The following is a 22,425-nucleotide window of genomic DNA, read 5'->3' as shown; positions in this document are numbered from 1 at the left end:
AGTTAGAAAAAGACAAATACGGTGTTCCTTCACTTATGTGAAGCGTCCAGACTGAGTAAGCAAACTAATAGAAACAGAAGGTAGAACGGGGGTTGCCAGGGACATGGGGAAGGGAGAAAATGGGAAGTTGCTTAGTGGATATAGAGTTTTGGTTTTGTCAGATGAGAAAGTTCCGGAGATTGGTTGCATGGCAATGTGAATATACATTACCCAACCCAAGGGCTCTCCTTGACCCCTGTTCCAACTGCCACTTAGAAGTGGTTAAGGTAGTAAATTTTATGTGTATTTTACCACTATTCAAAATAGAATTATTATTTTTTTATTATAATTTTTTGAGATCCCTCACTCTGCTGCCCAGGCTGGAGTGCAATGGCACCGTCTCGGCTCACTGCAACCTCTGCCTTCTGGGTTCAAGCGATTCTCCTGCCTCAGCCTCCCAAGTAGCTGGAACTTACAGGCACATGCCACCATGCCAAACTAATTTTTCTATGTTTAGTAGAGACGGGGTTTCACCATGTTCGCCAGGCTGGTCTTGAACTCCTGACTTCAGGTGATCCGCCTGCCTTGGCCTCCCAAAGTGCTGGGATTACAGGTGTGAGCCACCATGCCCGGCTGTCAAAATAGGTGTTTTTTGTTTGTTTGTTTGTTTTTGAGATGGAGTTTTGCTTTTGTTGGCCAAGCTGGAGTGCAATGGCGGGATCTCGGCTCACGGCAACCTCCACCTCCCGTGTTCAAGCAATTCTACTGCCTCAGCCTCCCGAGTAGCTGGGATTACAGGCATGCACCACCATGCCCAGCTAATTTTGTATTTTATTTTAGTATAGATGGGGTTTCTCCATGTTGGTCAGGCTGGTCTCCAACTCCTGACCTCAGGTGATCCACCCACCTTGGCCTCCCAAAGTGCTGGGATTACAGGTGTGAGCCATTGTGCCTGGCCTTTTTTTTTTTTTTTTTTTTTTTGTGGGTGTGTGTGTGTGTGTGTGTGTGTGTGTGTGATGGACTTTTGCTCTTGTTATCCAGGCTGGAGTGCAATGGCACGATCTCAGCTCACTGCAGCCTCTCCTCCCGGGTTCAAGCGATTCTCTTTCCTCAGCCTCCTGAGTAGCTGGGATTACAGGCATGCACCACCATGCCTGGCTAATTTTGTATTTTTAGTAGGTATGGGGTTTCTCCATGTTGATCAGGGTGGTTTTGAACTCCTGACCTCAGGTGAGCCATCTGCCTCGGCTTCCCAAAGTGCTAGGATTACATGCGTGAGCCACTGCGCCTGGCCTGAAAAAAAATTTTAAAGTTTGAGAAAATACAAAACTTTCATAGTCTCCAAGTATTTCTCCTAAGATCTTTCCCCCTATGAGGGGGAAAGATAGTAACTTTACAATGGAGAAATCCAGCAGAAACCTGAACCAAATGAACAAGTTCAACATCATCAGTAAGAAGAACTATCAATGCCATAACTCTGAAGGAATGCACTGGGAAGGATTCCACATCATTTTTGTGCTGTAATTGCCAAAAGTGTGTAACTTCAGTCCAATCATGGAAATACATCAGACACACCCAAATCGAGGAACATTTGACAAATAGTGATCAGTACTGGTTCAAGATGTCAGGGTTATGAAAGATAAGGAAAGATTGAGGAACTGTTATTGCAGTCCTACAAAACGGCGAGAGACTGAGAAATAACTAAATGCAGCGTGATCCTGGGTGGAATTTGGGAACAGAAAAAGGACATTAGTGGAAAAAGTGGCAAAACTCCAATAAGGTCTTTAGTTTAGCTAATATGTTCATTTTTAAATAGTTAAATAATTTAAATACATTTAAACGTCATTTAAATGTATTTAAATTAACAAAATTGGTTATTTTGTGAAATAATTTTAATATAGTTAAATATGAGAATGTGGATTTCCTGGTTCTGATCACCGTACTGTGGCTATCTAAGATGTGAATGTTCAGGGAGGCTGGGGGAGGAATAAATGGAAATTATACTATTGAATTGGAAAAGAGAAACCTACCCCATCAGTCACGAAACCCTCACATTCATGGCAGTGTGTCGGAGGTTCCAGTATGAATGGCATTTCCCAGATGTCAGCGCAAGGTCCCTGTGGAGGGAGTGGGACTCCCTGGGAATCTAGTGGAGAGCATTCGGGGCTCCCTTCCTCAGGAGCCTGCCCTTCCTGCACAGAAGCGTCGGCCTCACCTGTACCACTGCCCCTCTGCCTCTCAGAACCAACTCGGCTTCAGGAAGGTTCTACTGCCAGCTTCCTTTCCCGGATACAGCCTCCAGGGACTCAGCCCTGCCTTCCCAAGTGTTCCTGCCTCTCTTGGGAAGGGACGCTGTCAGATCCCGCACCCCTGGACTTCCCCGCACACCACCTGTTCCTTTTTTCTTCACTTCTCCAGCTCTGCGTTCTCACTCTGAGGGTCCTCTCTTGCTGGGAGTGTGTGTTGCTGGCAACAGTGAAGATTCCCCCTGGGTGGCCCCCCATGCCCTGTTCTTCTGCACTTCCCTGGCTTCCTGTGTTGGTTCTGCTGGTGTCACCTGCTTTTGGGTTTACGTGGCTTCCCAGCTTCCTAATTTCTCTGAAGTTGAGTTTGATGTGTATGTTGATGATGGGCTTTTTCTTCCTCCTTCTCCTCCTCCTCCTCCTCAGTCTTGTTGTTGCTCTATATAGTTTCCAGAAGGAGAAAAGGGACACTGTAAAATTGAGCTGCTGCAGGCTGGACACAGTGGCTCATGCCTGTAATCCCAGCCCTTTAGGAGGCCCAGGCGGGCGGATTACCTGAGGTCAGGAGTTCGAGACCAGTCTGGCCAACATGTTGAAACCTGATCTCTACCCAAAATAAAAAAATTAGCAATGTGTGGTGGCATGTCCCTGTAATCCCAGCTACTCGGGAAGCTGAGGCAGGAGGATCTCTTCAACCCAGGAGGCAGAGGTTGCAGTGAGCCAAGATCACGCTACTGCACTTCAGCCTGGGTAAAAAGAGTGAAACTCCATCTCAAAATAATAATAATTAAGCTGCTGCTATGTTTCTATCAGACCCAGAAATCCCGCAGAGTGAGCTGGAATTCTCTGTTTCTCTGTTTCCCCTCCATACCCACTGGCTCCTCTCTGCCCACTCCCTCTTGGACTGCATCACCAAGGTTCCTCACTGTCTGGCCCTAGTGGAATTCAGACAGTGGGGGATGTCATAGGAGGTGGGAGAGAGAGGAGAGGTGGTTATTCACTCAGATTCTTCCTTGCTGGTTTGCCAGTGGCCACATCTTTCTAGTGATGGCTGCAGCTCCTGATGATCCTCCCCTACAGCCACAGCTCTCTTCGGGGTCTGTGGACACCTTTCCTGTCCCTCTAGACCCAGGGAGATAACAGCTCCCACTCTTGCTGGTCCAGGGCATTTCTCATCTCTCATTGGTTCCCTTAACTCTGTCCACACTTCTGTGAACAGCCCCTTTTCCTCAAGTACCCATTCGAATATGTCCTCTGGCTTCCACCAGGAGCCTGACTGATACCCACAGGTGGGTGAATGCTGGCGTGCTTCTGGGCCGAAGCATGTTTTGTATGCAGAGGTCAGCAGCTGTGTGTGGGGAGGCCCAGCCAGGCCCCACTCATGGGTCATCATGTGAAAAACAGCCTTGCCTGAGTTTGTGTCCTCTTTCTACATGGCAGCAGATGTGTATTTTGTTTTTGACTCTGCAGCTGGTGATAACCACCTGCTTTAACCTTTCACTAGCCTCTGAGTTTTCTATGATTCCTGTTGGGAGAAAAGCTGAGTGTTGGTAGAGAAGCTGAGGCAGGGCTTGCATGTCTGCTAGACTTGCTGGCTTCTTGATTCCAGCATTCCCATTATCTCAAGTAGCCATATATTTCTCATTCACTTGCTACACTGTTTCCTTTCAACCTCCACATCCTCACCACCTGTTTCTTTGTTAGATCACCAATAAATAGCATGGGCTCCCAGAGCTCAGTGCCTTTGCAGCCTCCACACTGGCAATGGCCCCCTGGTCCCACTTTCTCTCTTGAACTTTTTCTCATTCTTTTGACTCCGCGGGACTTTGTTGCCCCCACGACCTGGTGTTGGCTCTGATCATCCCAACAGATTCCCATTCTAAAGATGAGGGAACCAAGAGGTGGAAGGGAGAGTTAGAATAAGAACCATTTCTTCTGACTCCAAAATCTTTCAGTTCTAGCACACTACCACCCACACTTTAAAAAACTCTGAAGTAGGCAGAGAATTCCCTCTTGTTGGAGGAATTGCTTTGAGAGACATGGTTTTACTGGATGAGGCTTTGGAAATTAACCTGAGGCAGGCGCCAGCACATCCTGAGAGGGATGTAATCTGGCACAGAGGCCTAGCCTGGTCTCCAGGTCTCAGCTGGCAAGACAGTCTGATCATTGACATTCCAGGCTGGGCAGGGCCAAGGGGCTTCAGGGGCCCATGCCCTCATGGGGCTCACTGAGCTTGTCTCCCATCAGCCAGTGTCCCGGCATCTCCAAATGAAGGCAGCTGTGGGGGAAGTTCCTTCTAATGAGCCAGTCTGTCCTGGCTGGGGGTGGCATCCCGGAGCCCCACCTTGGATGTCCAGGGACGTATAGGTCCATTGTGAGGATAAATGGGTCAGCACTGAGCCCTCACCCTGGACTCAGGGGACATGAGCCTGCTCTGAGCCCTCTCCCTGGACTGGGAGGGCATTGGGCTTGCTCTGAGCCCTCACCCTGGACTCAGGAGGGCAGTGGGCCTGCTCTGAGCCCTCACCCTGGGCTGTGGGGGCAGTGGGCCTGCTCTGAGCCCTCATCCTGGACTCGGGGGCAGCGGGCCTGCTCTGAGCCCTCACCCTGGACTTGTCTCCTCTGTTCAGTTCATGCCATGGAGGAAGTGGTGAAGGAGGTGGTGGGACATGCCAAGGAGACTGGAGAGAAAGGTACAGCTGGCTGAGGTCGGGCATGGAAGGAGGGAGGGAGGAAGGGAAGCTAGGTGCTGGGCCAACCTGTTCTTTGACTAACCGGGTCAAACTCTGCACCTAATGTTGCAGCCTTTCAGAGCCTCTCGGCTGGGACAGTTATCTATGTTCATCAGAGGCCACAGACTGTACTATGTTAGGGCACTGTCTAGATGGTTCTCTCCATGGAATGATAAGAAGACAAAGTCACAAAAGACTATGTGACAGCACACTGGGACAAAACATTTAACATGTAAAATTATATGTTAAATGTCAAATTGATGTGTGTGAGCTATGAGTAGAACTATGTACAAGCATGTGTATATCTCATTCCTCTTCAACAAAATAGATTCTGGGTAGATGAAGGACTGAAATTTACATACATGAATTTATTAACTTATAGGAGATAACTATCTTAGCTCAGGCTATTATAAAATACCATAGGCCAGGCACAGTGGCTCATGCCTGTAATCCCAGCCCTTTGGGAGGCTGAGGCAGGTGGGCCAGCTGAGGCCAGGAGTTCGAGACCAGCCTGACCAATATGGTGAAACCCTGTCTCTACCAAAAATACAAAAATCATCTGGGTGTGGTGGCACATGCCTGTAATCCCAGCTACTCAGGAGTCTGAGGCAGGAGAATCCCTTGAACCTGGGAGGCGGAGGTTGCAGTGAGCTGAGATTGTGCCACTGCACTCCAGCCTGGGTGACAGAGCGAGACTCTGTCTCAAAAACAAAAACAAAAACAAACCATAAACTGGGTGACTTAGAAACAACAGAAATTTATTTCTCACACTCCTGGAGGATGGGAAGTCCAAGATCAAGGCTCCAGCAGATTTGGCATCTGGTGAGGGCGTCTTCCTGGTTCGTGGATGGGCCTAGTTGTGTCCTCACATTGTGGAAGGAGCTAGCTCTCTGTGGTCTCTTTTATGTGGGTGCTAATTTCAACCTCCCAAAGGCCCCACCTCTGAATACCATCACATTAGAGCTGAGGATTTCAACGTATGAGTCTTGAGGGGGAAGACATCATAAACATTTAGACATAGTAATAACATAAGAGACTTTGGCCTAATCTTGGAGAGGGGAGAATCTTTAGAACTATGGAAAAAAAACCCAGCAGCCATAAAGGAAATATTAAATAAATTTGACAATCCAAAACTTCAAAATTTTCTATAGCCAAAAAAAAAAAAAAAATACTATAAACCAAGCCAAAAGAAAAATCACAAACTATGAAAAATATTTGTAATAGAAATGATAATGCAATATAACAACCCAACATAAAAATGGCCAAAAGACATAAGCAGGCATTTTCCAGAAAAAAAGGATAAGCAGGCAATGTACCCATGAGTAGATGCTCAGTCTCAGAGTTGAAGAAATACAAGTTGTTGGGGAAATTAAAACCAAATTCAAATTCATTCTGCCAGGAGTCCTGCTCCCCTTGGTCCCATTGGGCCACTCCATGGACTAATCCATTAAGATGGCCACATCCCACAGGCCACTCAAGGGGATACAAGTTCAGTGGGTGGATCACTAGGACATTCTTCTTCTTTCTTTCCAACAGCCATTGCCGAAGCCATAAAGAAAGCCCAAGAGTCAGGGGACAAAAAGATGAAGGAAGTCACTGAGACAGTGACCAACACAGTCACAAATGCCATCACCCATGCAGCAGAGAGTCTGGGCAAACTTGGACAGTGAATGCACCTGCTACCATGGCCCACCCTTCCCAAGTCTCAATAAAAAGCCATGAAATATGTACGTAGAGCCCTGGATTTATTCCCATTTGGATGGAAACGCTAGGCAAAGTATTTCCTTATTGATATAAAATAGTTTACATATTTATGGAGTACATTTGAGTATTTATTACATGCACAGAATGTGTGGTGATCAATCAGGGTGTTTAGGGTGTCCATCACCTTGAATATTTGGTATTACTATGTGTTGGACACATTTGAAGTCCCCTCTTCCAGTTACTTTGTTTTTTTGTTTTTGTTTTTGTTTTGAGACAGAGTCTTGCTCTGTCGCCCAGGCTGGAGGGCAGTGGCTTGATCTCGGCTCACTGCAACCTCTGCCTCCCAGGTTCAAGCAATTCTCCTGCCTCAGCCTCCTGAGTAGCTTGGACTACAAGCGCAGGCCACCACGCCCGGCTAATTTTTTATTTTTTGTTTTTTGTATTTTTAGTAGAGACGGGGTTTCACCATGTTAGCCAGGCTGGTCTCGAACTCCTGACCTCAAGTGTTCTGCCTGCCTGCGCCTCCCAGAATGCTGATATTATAGGCATGGGATACCACACTTAGCCTTCTAGCTACTTTGAAATATACAATACATTCCTGCTAACTATAGTCACCCTAGGTGAAGTTTTTTTCAATGGAAACACTTTTCATGTCCCCTGTGTCTCCTCTGCTGAGGTGGACACCGGCACTGGGGCCCCTGCTGCTGGTTGGATATGTCCCCATGATGAATCAGATGCTTCTCTCTCATGCTAAGATCTTTCATGTCAGGAAGGGGCTCTCCTGGAAGAATAGTTAGTGTCTGTGCTACATTTCCTAAAAAACTGTTTCCCCAGAAAGTATATATAGTTTTCAGGCACCTCAGTGCTTCAAGAACACGCTAAGGGAGGACCTTCATTTGTCTTGCATGTTTTTGGGATTTTTCTTGAGATGTTCTTGCAGGACTCAGGGCAGATAACAGACCAGCTTGATGAAGAATTTAGCAAGGAAGGCCCCCACTGAGCTGCTTCCTGTTCTCCCACAGATCAGGTAAACTTTTCTGCTGGATGGTTACAGAATCTGATCAAGGAGAGACTGAGTCACTGCTCAGTCATCCTAGAAGCCTCTGTTGATTTTTTTTCTTTTCTTTTCTTTTCTTTTCTTTCTTTTTTTTTTTTTAAGATGGGATCTCGCTCTCTTGCCCAGGCAGGAGTGCAGTGGCATGGTCTCGGCTCACTGCAACCTCCACCTCCTGGGTTCAAACAATTATCCTGCCTCAGTCTCCTGAGTAGCTAGAACTACAGGCGCCCGCCACCACACCTGGCTAATTTTTTGTATTTTTAGTAGAGACGGGGTTTCACCATGTTAGCTAGGATGGTCTTGATCTCCTGACCTCATGATCCGCCTGCCTTGGCCTCCCAAAGTGCTGGGATTACAGACGTGAGCCACCGCACCTGGCCCAGAATATTTATTTAGAGACTGATGTCAGGCCTAAGTGTTGATAGTGGGTAGTAGTGGGCAAGAATGCCTGGCCCTCTCTCTTTCTTCTCATGAGCAAGTCAGTATCATAGAGGTTAAACATATCTTAAGTCGCATTTAACCTAAAATTTTTTTTAATAAAAAAAGAAATAATTTGTAAAAATATTGCATCCCCTATTTATCTTGCTGGAAGCTATTTGTTCTTAGCAGAAATGAGAAGAAAAGGTGTTTTGCTTAAAAAATAAGTGAGCTGCTCACCCTTTTTCTGGATCTCATCTAGAATTGGCCTCACAGTTTGTGAACAGCCCAGGAATAGCCAATGTCTTAGCTTTGGAACGTTTGCCACTTTCCAGCTGCAGCTGAACCTTATATCCTGGTTTGGTTCCTGATGACTTTCAAATTCTCCTGACCCAAACGCAAGCTCAGAGGCACGAGCACATTGTTGGTGGCAGTACAGACTGAAACACCCTCTTTGGATGGCAGTTTCTCTCACAGGACTTTATTCTCCAGGTATGCACAGGTACACACAAGTGCCCAAAGGATAAGCACACAGATCTATTGTAGCATATTTGTATTACTGAGAGATTAGAAACATCCTAAAATGTTAACCAAATCACTTGGATGAAAAGTTTTGCTCTGCTTATTAGGTTTGGCATACAATATGGAGGTGACATCTATTACTTCCAGTGTATTACAGATACTTTAGCTTGAAAAATGAGACCTGTACCTAGATGGGCACCAAAAGGGAATGGTTAACAAATATTGCATACACAGGGGTGTGTGGGGGCTCCAGGGCCGGGATGACGGCGGCTGCAGTTGCGGCGGCTGCAGGATGAGCGGGTGGATCCCAGGAAGCGCTGTGAAACGGGCTGGCTCCCGAGCCAGCCGGGAGGACGCTTACTACAGCTGTTCAGAAGCACCACTGGAAGCTCAGATGTGGGCGCCCCAGCCAGAAGCAGTGAGGGGTACAGGGAAGCTACCGAGAAGCCCCTCCTGATGCCCCAGGGAGCAAGCCAACTCCTTCCAGGCTCCAGGAACACCACAAAGCAATATGAAACCTGTTCATGAGAGGAGTCAGGAATGCCTTCCACCAAAGAAACGAGACCTCCCCATGACCAGCTGCTCCACTAACCACACACCCTCCAGTGATGCCTCTGAATGGTCCCGAGGGGTTGTGGTGGCCGGGCAGAGCCAGGCAGGAGCCAGAGTCAGCATGGGGGGTGATGGAGCTGTGGCCATCACCGGTCTGACAGTGGACCAGTATGGCATGCTGTATAAGGTGGCTATGCCGCCTGCCACCTTCTCACCAACTGGCCTCCCATGTGTGTGAATATGAGCCCCTTGCCCCCGGAAAAAAAAATGCATATACAGTTGATTAAATGGAATGCTCCATGGCTATTAGGAATGATGAAAATGGGCTGGGCGCAGTGGCTCATGCCTGTAATCCCAGCACTTTGTTAGGCTGAGATGGGCAGATCACCTGAGGTCGGGAGTGTGAGACCAGCCTGACCAACATGGAGAAACCCCTTGTACTCTAAAAATACAAAATTAGCTGGGTGTGGCGGCTCATGCCTGTAATCCCAGCTACTCAGGAGGCTGAGGCAGGAGAGTCACTTGAACCTGGGAGGCGGATGTTGCAGTGAGCCGGGATGGTGACATTGCACTTCAGTCTCAGCAACAAGAGCAAAACTCCGTCTCAAAAAAAAAAAAAAAAAATGAATGATGAAAATGTCTGGGCATGGTGGCTCACACCTGTAATCCCAGCACTTTGAGAACCGAGATGGGAGGATTGCTTGAGTCCAGGAGTTCAAAACCAGCCTGGGCAACATAGTGAGAACTGTCTCTCCAAAAAAAAGAAAGAAAAAAATTATTTATTTATTTATTTTTGAGACAGGGTCTTTCTCTATGTCACCCAGGCTGTTAGTGCAGTGGTGTGATCTTGACTCAATGCACCCTCCACCGCCTGGGCTCAAGCAATTCTCCTGCCTCAGCTGCTCAAGTAACTGGGATTACAGGCACCTGCCACCACACCTAGCTAATTTTTTGATTTTTGGTAGAGACAGGGTTTCACCATGTTGGCCAGGATGGTCTCAAACTCCTGACCCCAAGTGATCTGCCCACCTCGGCCTTCCAAAGTGCTGAGATCACAGGCATGAGCCGCCGCGCCTGGCCTGGTAACACATTTTTCTTTATGGCTGCTGCCTGCCTTTTTCCTGGCTCACTTCTTCATGCCCCACTCAGTGTTCCCTGTGCCTCCAGATAAAAGAACTGTCGCCAAATACTTGTCTCAGGGCAGCTCCTAGGGGAACCCAAACTAGGACGTTTCATGCCATTTTTATAAAGCACAAAAATAAGTGAAATTATTCTGTGCTATTAGAAGTCTGGGTGATGATTGTCCTTGGGTAAGAGGAAGGTAGAGACTGGATGGGGACAGATGGGGGTTTCAGGCGTACAGGTAATGTTCTTGTTCTTAATCTGAGTACTGGTTAAATGACTGTGGTTTTTTATTTGTGAATCAGTGAGACATACAGTTATAATAGGTACAATTTTTGGTTGGATTATTATAACTCAATAAAATACTTTTAAAATTATTCAGTTAGTTTTGGCAGAATGCAGGAGCTTTTTGTTTGGTGTTTTGTTGTTTGTTTTTCGAGTAAGGATCTTGCTCTGTCACCCAGGCTGGAGTGCGGTGGTGCAATCATAGCTCACTGCAACCTCAACCCCTCCTGGGCTTAAGCAATCCTCCCGCTTTGGCTTCCGAAGTAGCTGGGATTGCAGGCAGGAGCCATCACACCTGGCCTCAGTTTTATTTATTTTTTATTTTTATTTTATTTTTTATTTTTAAGACGGAGTCTCACTCTTTCACCCAGGCTGGAGTGCAGTGGCACAATTTCTGCTCAATGCAAGCTCCGCCTCCTAGGTTCACGCCGTTCTCCTGCCTCAGCCTCTCGAGTAGCTGGGACTACAGGCACCTGCCACCACGCCCCGATAATTTTATTTTTTTTTTGTATTTTTAGTAGAGACAGGGCTTCACTGTGTTAGCTAGGATGGTCTCAGTCTCCTGAACTCGTGATCCGCCCACCTTATTCACCCAAAGTGCTGGGATTACAGGCATAAGCCACCGCCACCGGCCCTCAGTTTTATTTTTTACAGTGAAGGAATGGTAAAAATTCTTACCCATTGGCTTTTGCAATGAAAACAGAAATCATACATTTGTAGTAAGTAAAACAACAAATCATTTTTATAATTATTTTTCTGATCCACATATGGCCAGAAAATAGGAAGAGACAAAGGCCAGAGGGATGAAAAGTTGGTTCCAGGTAACAAAGGAGAGGACAAAAAAGAGAAGAGATAGGCCGGGTGCGGTGGCTCACATCTGTAATCCCAGCACTTTGGGAGGCTGAGGCAGGCCGATCATGAGGTCAAGAGATCAAGACCATCCTGGCCAACATGGTGAAACCCCGTCTCCACTAAAAATACAGAAATTAGCCAGGTGTAGTGGTGCATGCCTGTAGTCCCAGCTACTCAGGAGGCTGAGGCAGGAGAATTGCTTGAACCCGGGAGGCGGAGGTAGCAGTGAGCCGAGACCATGCCATAGCACTCCAGCCTGGTGACAGAGTGAGACTCCGTCTCAAAAAAAAAAAAAAGAAAGAAAGAGAAGACATAGAGAGGATGTGGTACACACAGACCAAGAAGGGAGAAAAGAAAGCAAATGACAACAAAACATGAATACAGAAAGACAGACTTTTTATCTCCATGCTGTCAGAATGGATGTAAGGATTCCTCTCCAAAGCTGAAATGCATAGGCATTCATGTAATGCCCTCTTTATTCTACATTCAACAAAGAAAAATTTCTAAAACCTTGTTTTACATTGAATAAGGACAATTTCTTTTGAGAGAGCAGCAGGGTCAATCCCCCTTTGCAAAGGGTAGTGCATCTCTTTTCACGGCATCACATTTCCATCTGGTGGCCTTTTAGGATATCATGGACAAGGACTCAAGATTTACAGCGAAGGCAGGGCAAATATTTCCTGCTGGCATCTGTCTTGTTTGAGCATTAAATCCAGGCCTCAGATGGGGGCGGTCTGCACTCCTATGGCAGATTGTAATGAGAGGTGTGGAAGAAGACATCGAACCCAACCCTGTGAATTTCATTTTAGGATGGACTGAGGAACAACATTCACATCAAAAACAAGCATTTTATCATGAGATTTATTAAACTTTGTCAGCCACTCCTACTAGGTCTTCCTATAGATATTAATGATTAAAAAAAAAAAAAGCACTAACACCCAAAGTAAATTTTTCTGGGAGATTCCAGATTGGCCTATTATGAAGTTGAATTGTTCACTGTACCGACACTGAAACATTTATTGCAATACATTACAGAACAGGTTTAAACTGCATAGGCACACATACACACATACACCCGCCTACTCCAAACTCATGTCTGAGTACTCTATTCTTCCTAAATAAAAGACAAAAGCTTTGGTGGTATTTTTTTAAGTGTAATTTAGGGATTTAAGATGGGGCAAGAAAAATATCTGAAAGGCCCTCCCCTCCATGCTGTGCCCTTATAAATGATAGAACAGATAGAGAAATTAAATTACTGACTATACAATTGGGCTTGAAGTCATAAAGGGGAGTGCTTGGGATCACAGAAATAAACAAGGAAGTTCTTAAGAAGCCATGGGAGAAGCCAAGGCCCAGGTAACCTGAGTCTGCACCCACCTGGGAATGCTGCAGAATCCTGAGACTCAGGTGGAGAATTGGAAACCAGAAATCTAGTGTGCATTGAAGAAGTGCCAGATGTCTGAGGAAGCCCACTGCTATGAAAGAGAAATAACAAATAGAGCAAATGAAAAATCTTCTCTACAACCAAAGGTCAATTAAAGCAAGTACATTTAATACCTTCAGCAAAACAGGGGAAAATAAAACCAAGCAATTATGAAAAAGAACCAATTAGAGATCTCAAAAATTAAAGCCCAAGTTATTGAAAGAAAAACCTCAAAAGATAGGCTGAGTAACAGCAGAGACACACTGAAGGGTCCATTAGCAAAATGGAGCATTCAGTTGAGGGAGTCTTGCAGGTTAAAGAACAAAGAGAAAAAGGTGAAAAGGTTAAGAGCCAGAAAGTCTGGGTGACCGCATTCAAGCTTTCGTCTAGTAGGAATTCCAAAGGCAGAGAGAGAATGGGAGAAAGTAGTATTTAATTAATAGCTAAAAATTCCCCAAAAGTGAAGAAAGCTATGAAAATAGAGAAAAAAATGTTAAAAGCTACCAAAGCAAAAAAAAAAAAAAAAAAAAAAATAGTTTAAATTCAAAGAAATAAGGATCAGATTTTCCTCATTAATTTCATTAGCAACACTAGATACAGGCCAATGAAGCCATGTCTTCAATGAGCTTTGGAAAATAACTAATTGATGCTGAATTCTATAACCCAGCTACAGAATCACTTAAGGGCACAGTGAAACAAAGCCATTTTTTTCTTTTTTGAGACAGGGTATTGCTCTGTTGCCCAGGCTGGAGTGCAGTGGCATGATCAAGGCTCACTGCAGCCTTGACCTTCCTGGCTCAAGCGATCCTTCCATCTCAGCCCCCCAAGTAGCTGGGACTACAAGAACCTACCACCACGCCTGGCTAATGTATTTTGTTTTTGCGTAGAGACGGGGTTTTTCCATGTTGCCCAGGCTGGTTTTGAACTTCTGGGCTCAAGTGATCTGACTACCTTGGCCTACCAAAGTGCTGGAATTATAGGCGTGAGCCACCGCACCCGGCCCAAAGGCATTTTTGAACATTCAAGATTTAAGAAAGTTTACCACCAACAGATTCTGTTGAAAACAACTACTTAAGAAGCCCTCCTGCAAGAAATGACATGAAACCAGAGGAAGAAGGAGTGCGAAAAAAGTAACACTTCCCTAAGTAATCAGCCAATGCTATTATTTAAGACTAAAGTATTGATTGCCATGGATGCTTAAAATAACAATTTGGAATTAGAATTCTGGATTATATCAACAGGAGACTTGGGAAAAAGGAAAACAGGGGGAGGAAGTGAACATTTCTTATCTTGTTTGGGAAGAGTCTATATGTACAGTTTACCTTCAGATTTTGTTAGGCAACATTATATATGGATATAAAAAATTAAGAGTAACCATTAGAAAAATAGCAATGAAATGTATAAATTTCAAACCAGTAGTGGAAATAAGATGGAACAAAGAAATTTCAATCAACCCAACAGAAAACAAGAATGGGGACAAAAAGAGAAACAGAGCATCATCAATAAAAAACACAAAGATAGGCCAGGCATGGTGGCTCATGCCTGTAATCCCAGCACTTTGGGAGGCTGAGGAGGGTGGATCACTTGATGTCAGGAGTTCAAGACCAGCCTGGCCAACATGGTGAAACTCTGTCTCTACTAAAAGTATAAAAATTAGCCGGGCTTCGTGGTGGGCACCTGTAATCCCAGCTACTTTGGAGGCTGAGGCAGGAGAATCACTTGAACTTGGGAGTCGGAGGTTGCAGTGAGCCAAGATCATGCCATTGTACTTCAGCGTGAGCGACAGGGTGAGGCTCTATCTCAAAAAAAAAAAAAAAAAAAAAAAGACACAAAGATAATAAAGTCCAAACAAATGAGTGTTCATAATAAATGGGCAATAAGAAAAAAATCAAATGAATAGCAAATAGGCAATTCATATGAAAATACTATTCAAGGAAATTAAAATTGCTAAGAAAGAAAAAATGCTCGATCTCACCATTTATCAAGGAAATACAAATAAAAGGTCATTGAGATGCTATTTTTACTGATTAGATTGGCAAGTATTTTTAACTTTGATAACAAATGTTAGCCAGAGTTGGACAAACGGGTACCCTCATGTCCCACCAAAGGGAGTGCATATTAGTACAGTCAATTTGGAGGGCATCTGACATATCTGTTAAAACCAAAACATTTGCATGTGTGTGCAAGAAAGTATAGTCAAGATTATCTTAGCAGCATTGCTGGTAGCAGTGAGATATTGGCAATGATCTAAAGGTTCATCATTGGGAGAATAACTACATGAACTATTGTATGTTCCTACCACAGAATACTCTGCAGCAGTTAAAAACAATAACTTAGAATCATTTCTTTCTTCTTCATTTTCTTCTTTCTTTCTTTTTTTTCTTTCTCTCTCTCTCTCTCTTTCTTTCTTTGAGACAGACTCTTGCTCTGTCTCCCAGGCTGGAGTGCAGTGGTACAATCTCGGTTCACTGCAATCTCTGCCTGGCAGGTTCAAGCGATTCTCCTGCCTCTGCTTTCCAAGTAGCTGGGATTGCAGGTGCCCACCACCATGCCTGGCTACTTTTTGTATTTTTAGTAGACATGGGATTTTACCATGTTGGCCAGGCTGGTCTCGAACTTCTGACCTCAGGTGATCCACCTGCCTTGGCCTCCCAAAGTGCTGGGATTACAGGCGTGAGCCACTGTGCCTGGCCCATTCACCAGATATTTACTGAGCACCCAACCTGTGCCAGCCACTGTGCTAGAATCAAGGAAGACAGCAGTTGTAGAAAAGGAGAGGAAAATCCTTATCTTCTCAGAGCTTACATTCTGCTGGAAGACAACGGATGGGCAAGGAGATGGATGAATATATGCCATGGGACCAAGCCTTTGCTCCACCCTCACCTTGCTGGATGACCTGGGGTATTTCACTCCACCTCAGTGAGCCACAGTTTTCCATTTCTGTCAAATAAGGAAGTAGGGCAAGATGGTCTCCTTAGAATTCAAGACACTCCCAGAGGGTCTGCAGGGATTTCTCAAACATTGAATTGTCTTCCATCCAATGTCAATCCTTTAAGCATACTGAGGACCCTGTTTGTTGCTTGGACTTAATTAAGCCCAGGGTTGTGTGGGCAGGAAACTCAATGCTCATGTTTCAGGAAAAGCACTGGATCCAATGATTGCCAAGCCCCACCCCAGCTCAGATCAGCTAATCAGGGACCCCATGCTTCTGCATTATCTTTTTTCTGTGTGTAAACAGGCACATCCTAGGTGCTTCAATATTGAGTTCCAGCTGAATCAGCCCTTCCAAGGTCACTGACCAGGGTATAGGGCATCCCTAGCCCTGGGCTGTGAACCCTTGTCTATCCTTGTTACTCTCACCGGAACCTAAGGCTCAATGGAAGATAAATAGCAGGGGTCAGAAATTTGAGGGATTGCATGTGGGGAAACCCAGGGGCTCCAGCATCACTTGGAGGACAAGAAATAAATGAGATAAGTGAGGGGTCTTTGTCTGGGCTGGTGCAGGAGCACTTCTTGTTTTCACAGACAGCCCTCATTCCTGCACAGCTATGATCCTCATTCCTTAGCTGGGTATCCCAATGTTAGAAAGGATCACCAAAGAGCTGGGTAATGGGGTTCTGGGGTCGGGCTGGACTTGCCTCCAATCTCAGCCCTACTGTGTGGAGCAGTGGAACCCTCATATGCTGCTGGTGGGCAACCAATTTACATAGACAAGTTTGGCAGTTTCTTGTATAACTTACTCTCATCATGTGACCCAGCAAATCCAATCCTAGGGATCTACCCAAGAGAAATGAAAACATATTCTCACACAAAAACTTATACACACATTTTCATAACAACATTATTCATAATGGCTCAAGACTGGAAACAACCCAAATGTGCACCAGCTGAAGAATGGATATGTAGACGTTTGTGATCCACCCATGAAACAGAACTTTATTTGTCAATAGACAGGGATGAAGCCACAATGGACATTACAACGTGGATGAACCTCAGAAGCATTACACTATGTGAAAGAAGCCAACCATAAAGGCCACACAGTATATGATTTCACTAAGAGGGAATGTGCAGAAAAAGGCACATCTGTAGAGTCAGAAAGCAGATTGGTGGTTGCCTAGGGCTGGGGGTGGGAATGGAAGATTGCCTGCAAACAGGCAAGAGAAATGTTTTCAGGGTAATAGAAATGTTCTAAAACTGGCTTGTGCTGATGGTTGCCCAAATCTATAGATTTGCTGATCTAACTGTACATTTATTGTGAGTAAATTTTATGGTGTGTAAATTATACCTCAGTAAAGCTGCTGAAATATGCAAAATAAAACCCAAAACTCACCCCTTGATTCTTCCTAGCTGTGCAGGCTGGGACCATCAACTCCAGTTCCCTGAGCCTCAGTTTATTCATGTTTAGTTTATGAAGATGGGCATGTAGTAATGGAACCTCTCAATGAGCATGCCAGGAGGATTCATATAACAGAAAATACATGCAAAGACTTTTGCTGGGAACCCGGCACCTGCACAGGGCCCTCAATTATGTGGGTTGTTGGTGTCATTTCCATGGAACCAAAGAGACTATAGCCACAGAACTCCTCCTTGCTGACATCTGGTGGGGCTGGTGTTGGCTTGCTTCACTGAGCATTTCCAGTGCTCGGCATTCACTGTGCACTGTAAACATTCTCTGAGCATCATGGACAAGTGACCAAAACAGAGCCCCTCTACAGGTGTCCAGCACCCTTTGGGGAATCAGAGAAGAAAACTGGTGTTTGCAACCCTGTGTGATGGGCACATGTGCTGTAGGAGCCCAGGGAGAAACAAACTGGCTAAAATGGGCATGTGAGGGGCTCCTCAGAGGCAGCTACACTTGTGTCCTTGCATGAACCCTGCTGAGCCCGATTCTGGAACAGATCAGGACAGGAAGAGCTTTCAAAGAGTTTCTGTTTCAATATTCTTTTCACTGCTGAGGAAACTGAGGCTGAGAAAGGGGTAGGAACTGGCTCAGGTTCTGTGATGGAAGTGGGATTTGAATGCTGTCTGACCTTGAAACCTGTGTTAGTATGAATCCTCCCAGAAGCAGACACCAAGTTAGAATGAAATCAGCAGAGATTTATTGGGGATGCACCTGTGCAGGTTAAGAGAGGGGCCAGGAGTGATCAGGGAGAGCCTTCAGACTGCCGTGTGAGAGGGGAGAGGGGAAAGGAAGGAAGGTAGGGCAGGAGGAGTCCGAGACACAGCACAGCTCTAGGAACGTTTGGCCGGATCAGTTGGGAGTCTCTGGTGGACTGTTGACTGTTAGAGGATTCCCTTGTCCTGCAGGAACAAGTGGCACTAGTACCCTGGCATGCTCGGTTCTGGCTGGGAGCAGCCTATAGGAAGTGTGGCCTCAGTGCCCAGGCTGGAATGCAGTGGTGCAATCATGGCTTACCACAGCCTTGACCTCTTGGGCTGAATTGGTTCTTCCACCTCAGCATCCTGGGTAGCTGGGACCACAGGCATGTGTAACCATGCCCAGCTAATCTTTTAATTTCTTGTTGAATGTCTTGTTGTGTTACCAAGGCTGGACTCAAACTCCTGGGCTCAAGCAATCCACCCTCCTCGGCATCCCAAAGTTCTGGGATTACAGATGTGAGACCCCGGGCCCGACCGGTTGGTTGTATTTCTATTGGATAGTGCTGGTCTAACACAGGTTTTCTCAGCCTCAGCACTGTTGACATTTGGGGCTGAATCATTCTTTGTGTTGAGGGTGGTCTTGTGTATTCTACAGTGTTCAGAAGCCTCCCTGGCCTCCAGCTACTGGATGTCAGTAGCACCTAGTTAATCCTCAAGGCATAGCAACCCAAAGTTTCTCCAGACATCGACAGAATCACCCCACTTGAGAACAGAGCAAATGTTGTATAGCCACAAGAGCCTGTGGCTTACCACATGCCAAGCACTGGTATTAAGGACAGGGTGTTAGGGATACAAACAGGGAACGAAAAGTCCTGCCTATGTGGCACTTACTTTAGTGGGAAGTAGAGACAATGAATAAGTAAATATACATTGTCCCTGGCAACACGTGCCGTGGTAAACAGTGAAACAGGAAAGGGGACCAGGAGCACAGGGTGGTATGTGTTAGCAGGCTTCCTGTTGTGTGTATTTCATCAGGGAGGCCTCACAGAGAAATCGAAGAGTGAGGAAACAAGCTGGATTCTGAGAACAGTGTTCGAAAAAGTGGCAGGAGCCAGTGCAAAGACCCAGAGGTGCACATCACTGAAAACAAGGAAGGAGATCTCTATGTAGTGACATGAAAAGACTATTAATCAGTGAAAAATTTGTAAATGGGGGCCTTGAACTTAAACTAGGACAAATGATACACGTCTTTCTGGTGAGGTGGTTAAACCTTTTCAAAAATAGCTTTATTGAGGGCCAGGTGAAGTGGCTCACATCTGTAATCCCAGCACTTTGGGAAGCTGAAGTAGTCGAATCACCTGAGGTCAGGAGTTAGAGACTAGCCTGGCCAACATGGCAAAACCTGGTCTCTACCAAAAAAATACAAAAATTATTTGGGCATGGTAATGCATGCCTGTAATCCCAGCTACTCGGGAGGCTGAGGCAGGAGAATCGCTTGAGTCAAGAAGGCAGAGGTTGCAGTGAGCCAACATCACGCCACTACACTCCAACCTGGGTGACAGAGCAAGACTCCATCTCAAAAAAAGAAGAAAAAAAGCTTTATTGAAATATAATTCACATGCCATAAAAGTCACTCATTTAAAGCCTAAAATTCACTGGTTTTTATGATGTACACAGAGTTGTGCAACAATCACCACATTTGCTTTAGAAAATTTTCATTACCTCTAAAAGGAACCCCATACCCTGTAACCAACACTCCCAAATTCCCCCAGTCCCCCACTCAACCCTAGGGCAACCACTAATCTACTTTCTATCTCCAAATTGGTCTATTCTGGACATTTCACATAAATAGGATCATATATGATTTTTTTGTGACTGGCTTCTTTCACTTAGCATAATGTTTTCAAAGTTCATCATGTTCTAGGATATATCAGTACTTCATTCCTTTTTATTGCTGAATAATAGTCCCCTGTAGCAATATATCTCATGTTGTTTATCCATCCATCAGTTGATGAGCATTTGAGTCATTTCCAATTTTGGGCTGTTACATATAATGCTAAGATGAACATTCAACTGCAAGTTTTTGTGTAAACATATGTTTTCCTTTCTCTCTGAAGTAGCTTTGCTAGGTTATGTGGTAACTCTTATGTTTAGCAAATTGTGGCACTACCAAATTTTTCTAAATGGTATGGATCATTTTATAGTCCCATCAACAATGAATGAGGGTGCCAATTTCTCCACACCCTTGCCAATACTTCTTTCTGTCTTTTTGATTAAAGCTATCCTAGTGGGTGTGAAGTAGTATCTCATTGTGGTTGTGATTTCCATTTCTTTAAAAACTAATGGTACTGAGCATCATTTTAATGTGATTATTGGCCATTTGCATACATTCTTTGGAGAAATGCCTATTCACATATTTTGTCTATTTTTAATTGGATTTTTTATTGAGTTGTATGAGTTTTTTTATTACATATTCTAGATAAAAACACTAACGGATATATAAATGGCAAATATTTTCTCTCAGTTCGTGGGTTGTCTTTTAACTTTCTTGATGGCATCTATTGAGACACACAAGTTTTTCATTTTGGTAAAGTCTAATTTGGCTATTTTTCTTTTGTCATACTTCAAAAGCTTGGCCTATCCCAAGTAGTAAAGATTGACTTATATATTTTTCTAAGAATTGTATAGTTTTAGCTCTTATATTTAGGTGTATTGTCCAATTTCAATTTAGTTTTGTGTATGGTGAGAGGTAGGGTCTAACTTTATTCTTTTGCATGTGGATAAACAGTTGTTCCAGTATCATTTGTCAGAAAAATCATTCTTTCCCAATTGAATTGTCTTGGATCCTTGTTAAAAATCCATTTTTTGTAAATGTGAAGGTTTATTTCCAGACTCTTTATGCTAGCGATCTACCTATGCCAGTACCACCCTATCTTAATTACTGCAGCTTTGTAGTAAGTTCTGAAATTAGGAAGTGTGAGTCCTCCAATTTGTTCTTCTCTTTTTAGATTGTTGGCTATTCTGGACTCCTTGAATTGCCATACGAATTTTAAGTATGCCCATTTTGCAAAAATGTTAGCTGGGATTTTGACAGGGATTGTATTAAGTCTGTAGATTTGGAGAGTATTGCAATCTTAATACTAAGACTTCTAATCCATAAATACGTACTATTTTTCAGTTTATATCTAATTTACCTCCACAATGTTTCACAATTTTTAGAGTACAAGTTTTGTTCTCTTTTGTTAAATTTATTCCTAAGTATTTTATTCCTTTAAATGCTATTATAAATGGAATCACTGTCTTAATTTCAGATTGCTCATTGCTAGCGTATAGAAACACAACTGATTTTAATATATTGATCTTGTACACTGCAACTGTGCTGAACTGTTTATTTAGTTCATTTAGTTATTTAGTTCTTCCCAAAGATCTTCTATATAAAAGCTTTATATACAAGATCATGTCATTTACAAATAGAGTTTTACTTCTCCCTTTCTAATCTATATGCCCTTTTATTCCCTCCCCCACTTTTTTTTTGAGAGAGTCTCGCGCCATTGTCCAGGCTGGAGTGCAATGGTGCAATCTTGGCTCACTGTAACCTCCACCTGCTGGGTTTAAGCGATTCTCCTGCCTCAGCCTCCCAAGTGGCTGGGATTACAGGCATCCGCCACCACGCCAGGCAAATTTTTGTATTTTTAGTAGAGACGGGGTTTCACCAAGTTGGCCAGGCTGGTGTCGAACTCCTGACCTCAGGTGATCCACCCACCTCGGCCTCCCAAGTGCTGGGATTACAGGCGTGAGCCACCATGCCCTTCTTATTTCCCTTTCTTGCCTAATTGCCCTGCTCTAGAACCTTCAGTATAAGATTGAATAAAAGTGGTGAGACTGGACATCCTTGTCTTATTCCTGACTGTAGAAGGAAACCATTAGGTATAACGTTAACCGTGGGGTTTTTATAGATAACCATTATCAGGTTGAGGAGCTTCCCTTCTATTCCTATTTTAGTGGGGTTTCTTTTTAATCATGAAGGGGTGTGAATTTTGTCAAATGCTTTCTTCAGTGTCTATTGAAATCATCATGTGATTTTCTTTCCTCTTTTATTCATATATTACATTAATTTTTGTGTGTCAAATCAACCTTGCATTACTGGGATAAATCCCATTTGGACATAGTACGTAACCTTTACATATGTTGATGGATTTGGTCTGGAAGTATTTCCTCAGGATCTCTGTGTCTATAATCATAAGAGATGATCTGTAGTTTTCTTTATGTCTGTCTGGATTTGGTATCAGGGTAATATTGGCCTTATAGGATGAGTTGGGAAGTGTTTCTGACATGGGTAAATGTTTAGATGTATTTCAGGATAGGCAAAGCCTCAGAGTGGGAGAAGGATATCAGTAAGTAAACCTAGGTGAACAGAAAGTGAACACTATGAAAGTG

At 44.3% G+C, this 22,425-nt stretch overlaps 1 pseudogene across 1 annotated transcript; it reads left to right on the top strand.

The window, feature by feature from the left end:
- The first annotated feature begins 4,785 nt into the window (after positions 1-4,785).
- FAM25EP (family with sequence similarity 25 member E, pseudogene) lies at positions 4,786-6,682 on the top strand (annotated as a pseudogene). Its single transcript, NR_172103.1, has 2 exons — positions 4,786-4,915; positions 6,491-6,682. The product of NR_172103.1 is annotated as a family with sequence similarity 25 member E, pseudogene (transcript).
- Positions 6,683-22,425: the final 15,743 nt, after the last annotated feature.

The sequence above is a fragment of the Homo sapiens genome, chromosome 10 (assembly GCF_000001405.40).
Source record: "Homo sapiens chromosome 10, GRCh38.p14 Primary Assembly".
NCBI lineage: Eukaryota > Metazoa > Chordata > Mammalia > Primates > Hominidae > Homo > Homo sapiens.
Note: the sequence above shows the minus strand (reverse complement) of the source record. Positions and strands in the feature narration are given on the sequence as shown.